General features: G+C 35.9%; 1 protein-coding gene across 4 annotated transcripts in view, besides 3 other annotated features; it reads right to left on the bottom strand.

Moving 5' to 3' along the window:
- Positions 1 to 1,062: 1,062 nt before the first annotated feature.
- MTF2 (metal response element binding transcription factor 2) overlaps positions 1,063 to 14,527 on the bottom strand; it is a 59,794-nt gene continuing 46,329 nt past the window's right edge. For 3 of the 4 annotated variants that reach the window (NM_007358.4, NM_001164391.2, NM_001164393.2), the window contains 6 exons: positions 12,840 to 12,907; positions 10,691 to 10,861; positions 6,331 to 6,436; positions 6,159 to 6,211; positions 5,944 to 6,048; positions 1,063 to 3,469 (listed from right to left, as the gene is read on the bottom strand). In NM_007358.4, the coding sequence (NP_031384.1) occupies positions 3,112 to 3,469; positions 5,944 to 6,048; positions 6,159 to 6,211; positions 6,331 to 6,436; positions 10,691 to 10,861; positions 12,840 to 12,907 (861 nt within the window). In that variant the 3' untranslated portion in view covers positions 1,063 to 3,111. The remainder of the gene's footprint in view (positions 3,470 to 5,943; positions 6,049 to 6,158; positions 6,212 to 6,330; positions 6,437 to 10,690; positions 10,862 to 12,839; positions 12,908 to 14,527) is intronic. The other variant, NM_001164392.2, reaches the window with a different exon arrangement.
- Positions 10,200 to 10,400: a silencer, noted in NCBI's record as "peak319 fragment used in MPRA reporter construct". NCBI's record gives its function as "represses an SCP1 promoter by STARR-seq MPRAs in K562 erythroleukemia cells {active_cell/tissue: K562}" and the evidence as "EXISTENCE:reporter gene assay evidence [ECO:0000049][PMID:32103011]".
- Positions 10,200 to 10,607: a biological region, named in NCBI's record as "Sharpr-MPRA regulatory region 11191".
- Positions 10,313 to 10,607: an enhancer, noted in NCBI's record as "tiled region #11191; HepG2 Activating DNase matched - State 9:DNaseU". NCBI's record gives its function as "activates a minimal TATA promoter and a strong SV40 promoter by Sharpr-MPRA in HepG2 cells {active_cell/tissue: HepG2}" and the evidence as "EXISTENCE:reporter gene assay evidence [ECO:0000049][PMID:27701403]".

Raw genomic sequence — 14,527 nt, 5'->3', positions numbered from 1 at the left:
CACAGATAATAGAGATATACTCAACATACACATTATAGAAAACAACCATGCATACTTGGACATATCTTGCAAATAAAAAAAAAAAAAAGCCGGGGGCACCTTCAACTCTAACACATCAGTGAACATTCAATTCTGTTAAATATTTAGTAAAGAATATATGTAGCAAGAGCTGGCTTCATCACCCCTATATTAGAATTTATAGAGTAACTCTGATAGCTTATATTCTGGCTCTAGTTTGGTGGTCTAAGGGTCTAGGAATACACATTTATCACTTAGTAGCAGAATATTTATAAAAATGTATTTGTTTTGAATAAAAATGGAATTACAATGAGTAAGGTATATTGTTTCCACATCTTTTATATGCCTAGGGGCAAAACTTATTTTAAAAGTACAGGAAATCCTTTTTTTTTTTTTTTTTTTGAGACGGAGTCTCACTCTGTTGCCCAGGCTGGAGTGCAGTGGTGCGATCTTGGCTCACTGCTTCACTGCAAGCTCCACCTCCAGGGTTCACGCCATTCTCCGGCCTCAGCCTCCCGAGTGGCTGGGACTACAAGCGCCTGCCACCACACCAGGCTAATTTTTTTGCATTTTTAGTAGAGACGGGGTTTCACTGTGTTAGCCAGGATGGTCTCAATCTCCTGATCTCATGTTCCACCCGCCTCGGCCTCCCTAAGTGCTGGGATTACAGGTGTGAGCCACCGCACCTGGCCCAGGAAATCCTTTTATATGAACCCTAACAATTCTATGTAAGAAGCAAACATAGTTGGAAAATTAAGTCTGAATTTTTTAAAGTTTGGGGACACAATAGAGATATATTGTCTTTCAAATATAAAGTGTACATGCTCACTAAACGTACTTTAAGACCACTTAAGATGAACATGTGATAGTTATTAATATTATAAGAGGGATGAAGAAAATGAAAGCAAAGTTTTATAAAGATTAATTCAAGTGAACATACTAGCAGTGGAATTAGAAAATCCTTACCACCCTAGCTAAATAAAAGCAGTCAACTACTGCACTAGTGTGTATTTTCAAGCAAATACAGAAGCAAAACTCATTAGCTCTTTAAAAAATACACACATTTAATGTTGGTCTGTTTTAATTTCTAAGTAAAGCAATTCCAAAAATACAAACTGAACATCAGAGCCATGTGAACCACCATGAGAAAATAAAACAGACATTCACAATAATTACGTCTAAAGACAGTTCAGCTGGATAAATCATCTTCCAAGTATGTTAAAGAAAAATTTCTAAAAATACTGCTGGTGTTCAGTTAGAATTAAAGGACTTTGGGGAAAATGAAATAATATGATACAGGTGGAGTGAATAAGGATACACGGGATTTACATTTTTCATTACCCCTAGATATAAACAAACATTCAAAAATCAACACAAACTCTGTGTGTTATTCAAAATATTGCAGCTGCAGGAAAGGCAACCTTAAATTAATAGCTAGGGGAAAATCAAGTTTTGGTGGAGGTAAACAGAAGTAACAGTTTTTAATTTGCACTTTTGTAAAGCTCATTTATACCTGGCCAACCAGGAACCAAATGCAGACAATGAAGTTCTCTGCTTCTTTTGGCTATAATGTGACAAGAAAGGATCATCTTTTGAAGATGTTTAAAGAAATAAAGCAACTTTCTTTATAAACAGTCAAATAATCAATTAATGGAATAAATAAGTACTAACCCACATTTTAACCACTCTGTAATCACTACACTTTACATATTTTTTATTTTGGTGGCAAATTCCCCCATAATTAGTCTAAAATCCACCAATCACTTTTAAAAGTAAAATGAATAGCCACCAAAATAAGAAAATCTTCTGTTCACTCTTTGGCTAAAAAGGAAAACAAATAAAACAAAACAAAAAGAAACAGAAGACAACTGTAACACTGGTGATAAAAGAAACTTTTTTTTTACAAGTAAAATAAAGTTATCAATTTAAATCTTGGTACACTTTATAAAAACAAGAGGTAATGTTGTAATAAAACAGCAGTAGCCTCAGCTGGCAACATACTGTTTGTTAACCCTGTGCAATAAAATACTTTGTTCATACTACACTTATTCAAACATGACTAACAGTTACTACAGACATTTCAGGAATCTTCACGGGACTCCTATAGACTTACTGTTAAAAATGAGAGACATTTACAATCATAATGTGCCATGAAAACTTGAAAACGTTACTTCTAGTAGGAGATAATGTTCATATTATTTGAATTTGTTTTAGGTACTGAACAGCTGAGTTACAAGGACTAAAAGTGAAAAGCATTCTAAAAGCCCATGAACACTGTTGTTCACACCCTTCTTCAGAACACACTAAACTTGTCTGACACATTTCTCTTCATACATAGCAAGCAACAGCACCCAATAAAAGCCTGAGAAGAAATGCTGCTGTGTAAATACTGCAACTATTCCTGAAAAAAGAATTATGGGATATATACTCCAAAGCTGCCCATTCCCATAATTTGTATTGCATAGGTCACATAATCACACACATATATATACACGTGTGTATATATATGCACATGCAAGAATATATTAAGACGACAATGAAGTCTAGTCACAGAGCAATTTACAGGCTCAATATATTTTTTTACACTTTGCTTGAAAGAAAATTTCAATATTTTACAGTCTTTCAGTAGGCATTATATACACTGCACTTTATGAAATCTAAAAGGTATTGAAATAAATTTTTCCAACATTTTGGTAACAAAACAAACAACGTTTCTCCAAATACTTGTGCTATCTACATGATGTTTGCTCTGATAATCACTAATCACAAAAAACTGACTCAATGGAATAATTAGAAAAATTGTCTAACACCATGCATGGGTTTCAATCATTTTTAATATCCTATCCTAGAAACATTCTACAAATCTTAAGATTTAAAAAATTAAGTCTCTGTTCTGATTTTTAAAAGATACCTTTTTATGACAATATCCATAACATTGACAGGTACATGTTAAGGCTAGTATCATCCCCTTTTTTGAATTTTTTTGACTTTTTTTTTTTTTTAAGAAAGATAGTAAAAGCCAGACTCCTTTAGGGCTTTGAACTGTACCTACAGAAAATCAGAGTGCAGTGAACATAATGTTCAGTCCTACAGTCAGGATGCAGTTGCTCCTTCCCATTCCACAAGATACTGCACCTTTCCATCAAGTGTCACCCGACGTGCCAAAACTCGGTATTTTTCGCCACATGCTATTCTACCTGCAGCACCAAAATAACTGGTAATGGAGTTCTTTAGATGATTGAGTTGTAACTCCTGATCTGCTAAGTTATTCAGAATCTCTGTGTTGAGTTCATCAAACTGATAATCTTCTTTGCCTTCATCATCTTTTACAATTTCTGAGTTCTGAGTCTGGAGTGCTCTTCTTGGAAGACGACCTCTTCTTCTCCGCAAATGTGGTATTGCAGCAGGCCAAGATCTTCCTGTACGCGTTCTTTTTCTGGAGTCAGATAATCTATGTAACAGAGAAGGCCAGAATTGTCTACTGAGCTTTTTTAGCATCCTATGCCCATACAATATGTTCTCTTTTCTGGATTACTCTACTATACCATATATCCTTGATGATATAAAAATGAGCCAAACCCAAACAATAAATGCTATATAAATGGACTATCACTTGGGCTCATTACTTTAGATTTTGTCACGTTCTTGGAGCTGAACTTTGTGGAGCTTTTCTTCCTTAACTACTAGTAAGTTTAGGGTAATTTTTTTACTTAGGAGGCCAACAAGGAAAATTCTTACGAAGAGGCCCTACTCATAAATCAGGTATTGCCAATAATCACATCATTTAAAAGAGCTCATTCATTTGTTCATTAGAACAAATAATTAATGAGCACAAACTACATCTATGACACTGCTCCATGTCCTTAAAGAGTGGAACTAGAATAGAGGTTCTCTTATTACCAGTTCTAGGCCTAGTGAAGTAATACACCAGAATCAGAATAAGCACAAACTAGCAGTCAGAGTATCCTGGGTCTATCCCTAACTCTATTACTTGGCCAAATTCAAATCTCAATCTCTATGTTCATGAACTTAATGAGTGAAGGGGTTAGACTGGATAATGTGTGAGGTCCTTTTCAGCACAGAAATTCAATTATTTTATGATTTTATAATAAAAGGAGAATATAGTACAACAACTAAATTGAAAGACCTACAGTCATACTGTATAAGTTAACAACCCAGCTCTGTTATACTTGCTAAACATGCAATGTTGGGCTTGTTACTTAAAATCCCCTAAGTCTCACTTTCCTCATCTGTAAAATGAGAACAACAGGACTTACACAACTCAAAAAATTGTTCTCTTTTGTTTGTTTGAGACAAGGTCTCACTCTGTTGCCCAGGCTGGAGTGCAGTGGCACAATCATGGCTCACAGGAGCCCTGACCTCCTGGGCTCAAGTAATCCTCCGCCTCAGCTTCCTGATTATCTAGGACTACAGACACCAATACCACGCCCAGATAATTTTTTTCTTTTGTAGGGATGGGGTCTCATCTCAAACTCTTGCCTCAAGCAATCTTCCCACCTTGGCCTCCCAAAGTGCTGGGATTATAGGCATAAGCCACCACACCCAGCCAAAAAATTGTTTTAAGAATTAAATAAGACAATATTTGTAAAAAGCTTAGCAGAGTATCTAGTAAGAGGCCCCAAAAAAGTCGATTATTCAGAATTCATTAATAAATGGGTTACACTTTAAGCATTTAATGTAGAATTTTGCATAATTTATAACAGCAGTTTTCGAATTATGAACAAAATTTAAACAGAATGAAGTATAAAACTTGAAAATAGTAGCTCTGACCCCAAATAGATTAACCTTTTCATACCTGACATGATGTGCTTTAGAGAAAAGTTGTCCTGGCCAGGCAAAGTGGCTCACGCCTGTAATCCCGGCACTTTGGGAGGCCGAGGCAGGTGGATCACTTGAGATTAGGAGTTCAAGACCTGCCTGGCCAACATGGTGAAACCCCATCTCTATTAAAAATACAAAAAGTTAGCTGGGCATGGTGGCGCACGCCTGTAAATCCCAGCTACATGAGAGGCTGAGGTGCCAGAATTGCTTGAATCCAGGAGGCGGAGGTTGCAGTGAGTCGATATCATGCCACTGTACTCCAGCCTGGGTGACAGAGCGAGACTCCATCTCAAAAAAAAATAAACAATAAACAAAAACGTTGTCCTTCTGAAGGGCTGGATTAAATAAGATATCAGAGGGGAGTCTGCTATTGATGAAAATCTTAAGTTTAAAATCATTTTATGGACAAAAGGATTTAGGTGTCTGATTTTTTTTTTTTTTTTTAATCAAATCTTGGCCAGCTGTAGTGGCTCAGGCGTGTAATCCCAGCACTTGAGAAGGCCAACACAGGAGGATCACTTGAGATCGGGAGTTCAAGACCAGCCTGGGCAAATTAGCAAAACCATCTCTACAAAAAATAAAAAAGCATTACTTAGGTGTGGTGGCACAATCTGTAGTCCCAGCCACTAGAGAGGCCGACATGGGAGGATTGTTTGAAGCCAGGAGTTTGAGGCTGCAATGAGCCATGATTGTGCCACCGCACTCTAGCCTGGGCAACAGAGTGAGAATCTGTCTCTTAAAAAGAAAAAAAAAAATCATATCTTCCTAAAGCAAAGAACACTTGTGTAGCAGAGGCATTAAAAAGCCTAACGAGCACAGCTTCTAAACAATGGTATACTTTTTCTCTGTGTACACAGCAAATTTCCACACAAACATGAAAAATACATTTGTACTCTAGAAAGCAAAAATATTTCAAATGAATATTAACAACTATTGGGATCTACATATGGATTACCTCTCAAAAAGCTGATAGACACAACTTACATCACTTTCAATTGCTAAAAAATTATTCAATCAACACTTTACAAAGAAAAGAAATCTAGAGTAAAAAAAGTAAAAAAAATAAGAATGTAAAATATCTACCCATAATGCCTGGAAATGCTAGACGAGGTAGTTTCTTTTGCACTGGAAGCACCCGTGAAATCCACATCTGAGGTATTGGATGAATGTGCAGTTCCCTCAGTTCTCCTGAGACAAAAGAATTTAAATTGTGTAACGACTATATTATATAACAAACAAATATTAATATCTACTCAAAAGACAAAACCTAGAAAGGGAGAAAATAACTTTCTATTTACCCTATAGAACAAGGTAAATCCAAAGTAGGATTCTCTGAAATTGATTCCTTATCCTGGAAAATAAAAATATATACTTAAAGCATGTCTCTAAAGTAAGCTGAAAAAAATACTAGCTTCTCAGTTATTTCATGCATCCTTCTTCTTGAGAACATATACCAACATATCCTCTTACCAAAAGTGGCTCAGCAGTTTTTTGAATCATTTTTCTTGTATATGGGCCAGGTGGACGACCTACAGATTTTTTCTTTCCTTTTTTTTCTATGCCATTGCTTACTTCCCTGAAATGGAAAACCATTATGCATTTAATCTCTGCATAAAGAAAACAAAGACATTGACTCTATGTATGTAACTAGACACATATACATATATTTTATTATTTTATATTAATGGTAATAAAAAGTAAATATTAGTTGAATCCACAAGTTTAGTCAAGTGCACAGATAATATATTCTAATCCAAATAAATATTTCTTGACTTTAAAGATATTTACATTATGAAAGGTTTAAAGAAAGTCCTCTTTAATATAATTCTGAACAATATATACCACTTAAAGATTTAAAAACAACAACAAAAACCAGACAATTATACTGGATGGAAGATTTCAAAACTCCTAAAAGCTCAATTATATAGTTTAATTTTAGGTGGTTACAACTTGGAGGATGTTTCAAGGATTTACTACTAAAAATGACTATGAATTTAGCAGTTAACTTCATGGAGTCAGGAAATATCTATGTTAACATTGTAGTAGTCATAAAGGCTGCCTTTAGATATATATGTAGATTCTTGAATGACACTATCAGAAAGAGAATGAAGCCCAGAGTGGCAGAATGTAAAGGAGAAAGGAGTAAGAAATCCTTCATATTCTCAGGGAGTCATTCAAAAGGAAAAATCAGAAAGACCTAGAAAACCATTTTTTAAACATAAAGCCAAATACCAAGCAATAGGAAGGAAAAAAGTGCAATAGGCAAAGACACTAATTATAGAAAAAAAGAAAATATATATATAGAAAGAATATCTATTTCATTTACTCAGCAATAGCTACCATATAAAGATGATATTAGATAATATGGATACAAAGGTGTTCCCTGTGCTAAAGAGTTCACAATATAGTTAGAAAGTGACAAATGTGTATACAAGCCAAGCTAATAAAATGGAGTGAGGGCTATGAGGAAATTGTCCAGGAGACTTCAATTAAGGAGAGAAAAAAGAACACTATACAATAGCCTAGAAAGAGATGAATGGAGAAAGTAGGAAAAAAACTTATCCCTCCAGATGCCAAAAAAGGTCAGGGAATAAAGGTGGAAGTATGAGGAAGGAGAAAGTAGGGGAACTAGAAGGACAAAGTAGAACCAGACGCTATAATCAAAAGTCTCAAGAATAAGATGGATGGGATATCCATTTCTTTTGTAAAATGATCAACATAATATTTATAAAGGACTCCTGGACTAAAGAAAGTAATCTCAAACTAAAAGGAACAACTTATACACAAGGTCCAGAAGGAACTGAGGATGCCTTTAAAGAAAGCAGCTGAATCCTTATCTGGTGGCATCAGATGACCTGATAGCTACCACAAAGGGAATATCCTATCACAATCATGATAGAAATGAAAAAGCTTGTGGAATTTTTTTTTCTGATTCATAATATGGGCAACTGCTAGCAAAGGATCTGAGTGACAAAATCTGAAAGTGATAGAATAAGCATTCTTTCCTTCATTCAAAGAAAACTTAATTAGTAGCTAATTTCTTACAAACTTCATATAACTGGACTCATTGTCAAGGCTTTGTAATGACATTTTCCTTATCTCCAAGATGACTATTCCATACCTTTAACTGACCCTTAAATTCCCCTCTCTGTACAAGCCTCTCAGCTATCTTTACCTTATATTTCATCGAGAAAATGGAGGCTACCAGGCAAGAACTTCAGTCAATTTCCTTATCTCCAAGATGACTATTCCATACCCTTAATTGACCCTTAAATTCCCCTCTCTGTACAAGTCTCTCAGCTATCTTTACCTTATATTTCATCGAGAAAATGGAGGCTACCAGGCAAGAACTTCGGTCAATTTCCAACTGCCCAATCTACAACAGAACTGGCATCTGTACCCATCTTCTCTTTCACCCCATTTCAACAGAAGGATGCTTCTCCTTCTAGAAAAGGCCAGTCCCACATTCAGGCTCTACATCCCTTCTCTTTTGGCTTCTACTCTCCTATACCAATTTCCTCTTCTCCACTGGATCATTCCTACTTACACACAAAAACAGGTTCCAACTATCTCCCATCTATTTTAAAAAACCATCATTTGACTAGTCCTATCCCCCTCTTCAGCTGCCATTCCATTTGTCGGCCTCCCTACATAGGAAAGCTTCTAGGTGTTGATGACATATACCCTTTCCATTTTCTCCCCTCTCATTCAGGATCCTTAAAGATAGTTTCCTATTTTCCTCCTTTCCTTTACTACTGTTATTATTTTGAATCTGCCTGTGTCCCTGATACGCAGGAGAAGCCCAGTTTGACACGTAAATTTGGCAATGCTGGGTTCAGTCATACTTTCACCCAGTCCTATCTGGTTTCTATCTGTACCACTTCAAAGAAATTCCTTTTATCAAGGTCACTAATAACAAAATGATACCTTATGCAATAAATATTTTTCTTTCATTTTAATCTACCTCTCACTAGCATTCAATACACTTTAATATACCTATCTCTCTTGAAACACTACCTTTCTTTTGGTTGTCATGACATCAAACTTCCTGGTTTCCTCCCATCTCACTGATCATTCTTTTTTAGTCTCCTTGCTTATTTCACCTCTTCCAAATTTATAAATGATATCAGGACATGATCCCAGACCACCCTCTCTTCTCTCTCTACTTGCTCCCTTGGTAATTTCACTCATTCTCATAGCTTTTATCAATCAGATTCCAAATTTGTATCACCTGCCCAGACCTCTCCTATGAGCTCCTGAATTACACATCCAATTGCCTGTATTTCACATCATCCTGTGTGTATGAGGGTGTGTGTGTGTGTGTGTGTGTGTTTGTCCCTCATAAGAATCTCAAATTCAATGAATATGAAACAGAAGAATGCTTCATTCACCATACCAAAATCTGTTCTTCCAGATCTTGATTAACCACCCACCAGTTGCTCAGGCCAGAAATCTGGGCATTATTTAATTGATTCCTTATTTTCAGAAATTTAATTCATTAGCAAATCCAATTAATTCTACCTCCAATAAAGACCTCATATCTGTTTTCTCTCCATTTGAGTGTTACCACCTACCTCTGCACAAGCCCTCATATCATCTATCTCTCACCTAGACAATTGAGTGTTAATTTTCTCCTGCTTTTATTCTTACCTCTATACTATCCATTCTCAAAACAGCATCCAAAACAATATTTTTTTTTTTTGAGACAGAGTCTCGCTCTGTTGCCCAGGCTGGAGTGCAGTGGCACGATCTCGGCTCACTGCAACCTCCGCCTCCTGGATTCAAGCGATTCTCCTGCCTCAGCCTCCCAAGTAGCTGGGACTACAGGCAAAAGCCACCATGCCCGGCTAATTTTTGTAATTTTAGTAGAGATGGGCTTCACCATATTGGTAAGGCTGGTCTCAAACTCCCGACCTCAGGTGATCCACCTGCCTCGGCCTCCCAAAGTGCTAGGATTACAGGTGTGAGCCAGTGCACCCGGCCAAGTATTTCTAAAAGATAATTAAATCCCTTACATGCCTCCCCATTATTCTTAGAAAACAACCCAAATTCCTTGTAAGACCTACAAGACCCTACACAGGATCAAGCCCCACCTAATCTTTCCAATACCTGATGCTACTCTCTCATCCTCATTTATACCACACCAGTCTTCTGTGAGTTCTTAGAATATGTTTCAAAGCCTTTGCACTTGCTGTTTCTGCTAGCTGGAGTAGTTTTTCCCTTTGTTTTTCACATTGTTATAACATTCTCATTCTTTAAGTCTTAATTTAAATATTATCTTAAATAGTCCTTCCTTAAGCCACATTGTTAAAGTACAAAGGCCCCATCTCTATCCACAGTAAAGTCTAAAACAGTATGCTATCCTACATGGCACTAGCATAATCTGTAACTATTTTACTTATCACCTTTGTAAACCCCATCAGGGCAGAAGAAAAATCTATCTGTCATTGTACTGCCTAGCACTTAGATAATAAGGCACTTGAAAACTTAGATAATAAGGCACTTGAAAACTGTGCTGAATGAATGAATCAATCAATCAATCAATCAATGAAAAGTGAACAAACAAACAGGCTAGTACTCTTAAGCTGTTTGCTAACAAAATCAATAGAGTCTATTTCTGGAAGGCCAAAGTCCTAAAATAAATAAACAAGCATCTGGCATCAACTCTTCATACCTTGTCTAAGCAAGATATGATAGACCAAAAAAAAAAAAAAAAAAAATCAGAGTAACTGCCACTTGTACTTTCAAATATACTAAGGAGACTAAATAACATACATTTTTAGTTACAAATAAGCTAAAGAGAAAAACTAAGCCACAGATCAACTTTTACCTTGAATCAGATATAGGTTTGGATGCCTTTCTGCCTTTAATTTTAAATTCATGAGATGTTCCTTCAGGTTCTTTCTCTGCTTTGAAAGCCACATTTGGTGGCACAGGAGGAACACGAATTCGCAACCCAAACAAATGCTTCTTCTTCTTTATTTCTTTCCCAGACATAAACCTAAATTTTTAAAAAAATTAACTAAAATTTTAAAAACTGAACACATATACATAGTAGACCCTAACTTAACTTTCATATATAAGGCCCTTATACTTGAAAGCCCACCCAATACTACAAAAATTCACTTCCCCTTGCTTTCCTTGATTTTTATCTGCCCCAGAGCCAGTCTACAGTAGGATATGATGGGGAGGAAGGGATAGGACCAGAAAGGAGAAGAGCACATGTCCACTTTTCTTTTTAAACATGGCAACTAACTTTTTAAAGGAAGAAAGAAGAACAAAGAATGGTATATTTTTGGTCCCAATATGCTTTCCCATATTTAGTGTCATCTGTTAGAAATATTTCAAAAGGGATTTAGGGAAAAAAGAATTCCATCTCAGAGTGGATTTATAAAGAGAAAAACCTTAGTCAGAAATAATAGGTGACAGCATTGAAAAAGAAAGCAGGAGATAAATCCTAGAGGCCCAGAAAATAAAAGGAGTATCTAGAGTGCCGGATCTGGAAATGGAAATAACCTGGGGCAAAGAAGGGTTATTCCAGTTTATTATGGACTTGGGCCTCTGCAAAATATGCTCCTTAGACCTTTCTTTTAGTCTCTATGGTCCTTATTCCCAAGCAACTCCATCTACCTCAGCTCTACTGAAACTTGCCTGGCCACAAGAACCTCCATCAGTTGTTTAGAATGTTCTCCCTCTCTTTTTAATTTTTTTTTTTTTTTTTTTGAGACAGAGTCTCGCTCTGTCACCCAGGCTAGAGTGCAGTGGCTCAATTCGGCTCACTGCAACTTCTACCTCCCGGGTTCAAGCGATTCTCCTGCTTCAGCCTCCTAAGTAGCTGGGAATACAGGTGTGCACCAACATGCCTGGCTATTTTTGTATTTTTAGTAGAGACAGGGTTTCACCATGTTGGCCAGGCTGGTCTCAAACTCCTGACCCCAGGTGATCTGCCTGCCTCGGCTTCCCAAAGTGCTGGGATTACAGGTGTGAGCCACCACGCCCAACCAAAATGTTCTACTTTTTTGCAGGTTTAAGAAAGGGGATCCCTCATTACTACCATAACAGGAACAGATATATTTCTGGTACCCTAAACTGAAATTCAGAATTCACTGTCCCATGAAACATTTTTACCAGCACAATAACTGCTCAGGTACCTTATGACTTTTTTACAGTCTTTTTTCCTTTTTATTATACTTCAAGGTCATATCAGGTACCTCATGGCTTTTTGAGCTGGTGTAAAGATCCAGCCACTGGTAATTACATTATTTAATGAAGAAATACTATCAATTTCAAAACACCAACTTATTGCCAACAAAAATTTTATAATATAAAATTTCACTGGAGTCAACACATACATTTATAAAATTTGTTGCATTTAAAAATGTTTCTAAGAAATGTAGATACATTGTTTTAAAAAGAAGGGAATCCTTGTTAGTATAGTGGTGAGTTAAAAAAAAAGTAAAAATAAGGTAGGGGGAAGACCTGTAGATCTGTATGAGAATATATCAAATAATATCACTTAATTATCTTAGACTACTCAGCTAGAAATATTATTTTCTGTAACTAATGGTGTTAACTATTATAACCACAGATCTCAATCTTTTTAAAAACCCGTATTCCCTACAATATTCTCTATCTTTTGAATATTCCCACCAGCTAACAAGATTTTATTTTACTTTCAGTACATTACATTATAGAAGGAAGTTATTACTGAATATGCTTTTTCAATGGAACAGGCTAAATTCTCCCAGAGATACCGATATGTCTCCCACCCACCATTCCCAGGAGAAGGATTACTCCTCCCTCCTCCAATCCTTGAGAATCACTGCTTTAATCTAACTAAAATAGAATAGGACATTATAAAGTTTAAAATGGTATAGACTTCTTCTGTACATCAATCCCACAATTCTTAAACAATGCCATTATTCCTTATACTTACTAAATGTCTCCCTCATAGGGATACATAAAATAAATCAACTTACATGGTCTTGTAATCATTTAATGCCTCCAGAACATGCTCATATCTTTCAGATTTTGGTGTGTCTGCCAGCTGTGAAGTATCAAGAAACAATTTAACGCACTACAATTTCATCAATTAGTAATATACAGGTGCTAGATAGAGGCAATGTGATGCAGAGGAAAAGTGTACTGATTGGTAGTCAGAAGATCTAAGTTCTAATTCCAAGTCCTCACTGACTATTATGTGACCTAGGGCCATTTAACCTCTCAAGGCTTATTTTCTCACTTATAAAAAATGAAGTATAAATCCTACACTAGTTACTTGTTCATTACATTAATCCAACGATATGTTTATGAAGGAACTACAAACTGTAAAACACCACAAAAATGGGACTGTATTATTAGTTATTAAATTTTTCAAAAATTCTTTAACCTAGGGAAATAATACATTAGAATTATTTTAATATTTACTATAAAAGTTCCTAACAGATATCAATAGGAAGTACAAAAAGTAGTAAGAAACATACCATTTTCCAGTACCTCTAACATTAAGCATAAACCGATAATCTCTATAATTTTTTAGAATACTGTAAAATTGAGAGATCTTTTCATAACAATTATAGACTTTAGCCAGCTCTAAATGGCTCAATAATTTTTCATCATAACAAACTGTTTTAAAATCTAAATATTTAATTCTAGAAAAAAACCCTATTTTGTTCCAATAGGGCTTTTTCTCAGAGACCTTTCTGCCTCTTCTTGACTAAGGCATATTAGCAAAGAAATCTTAAATTACAAAAGGACCATCCTGAATTAATGCTACAAACACCTTAAAAAAAAAAAAGCTGCTTCCAAAATATCACAGTTGACTTTCAAAATTACAGCCAGTATGTTCTTTACCAGTTGAAACTCCCAAGCCTCAGAACTGCTTTAAGTGAGAGAGAAAACAAATCTGCCAAATAGAATGCTGGAGCTAGAAAAAACTTGTAAGTCATCTACTCCAATTCTATTTTACACGAGTTAACAAATATAAAGGTTAAAACTGCTCAAATTCACCTGTCTAGTTGGTGAGAGAGCTAGAACCTGAACTCAAGTGATAAGCCCATTCATTCTACACTCACTGAGAGCCCACTCTGTGCCAATATGCTGAGTGCTAAAAAAAAAAAACATGTTAAATACGAGTTAGGTACTCATTCCCCTATATCAAACCACCAACTCCTACTGTAATTTCTGAAGGGTCTAATGATAGAGAATTTCAATTTTAAAGGAGGAATAATAGAATCAGACTTTAAAGCTTGAATGAGACCCTAGATCCAATTCAGCCTTCCACCAATATTGCAGTCTCTTTTACAGTACAGATATTTATTCGACCTTGGCTTAATTAGTGCCACTGATAAAAGCTGATAAGGCACCAACTAAAAAAGCCCATTCCATAAGTAGGCAAAATCTTCCTCCCCAGAGCTCTTTCATTCCTTCTTTTACAAGACAGCTCTTCAAATATCTGAATGCAATTATTATGTCTAATTATAAGATTAGGTTAAAATGTTTAATAGCTATATCACATGGTTACTTCATATTAAGCTTCTGACTAACTCTGTCTTCTTCCTGGTCCCCCCTCCCCACCCCAACTGTGAAATCTTATCAGATGAACTGCTATCAAATTGAGTATCCCCTATCATACCCATGTACTGTTTGTGTTTATGGCTAAAGCAGA

The sequence above is a fragment of the Homo sapiens genome, chromosome 1, assembly GCF_000001405.40.
Source record: "Homo sapiens chromosome 1, GRCh38.p14 Primary Assembly".
NCBI classification, from domain to species: domain Eukaryota; kingdom Metazoa; phylum Chordata; class Mammalia; order Primates; family Hominidae; genus Homo; species Homo sapiens.
This window is presented reverse-complemented; position numbering and strand designations above follow the sequence as displayed.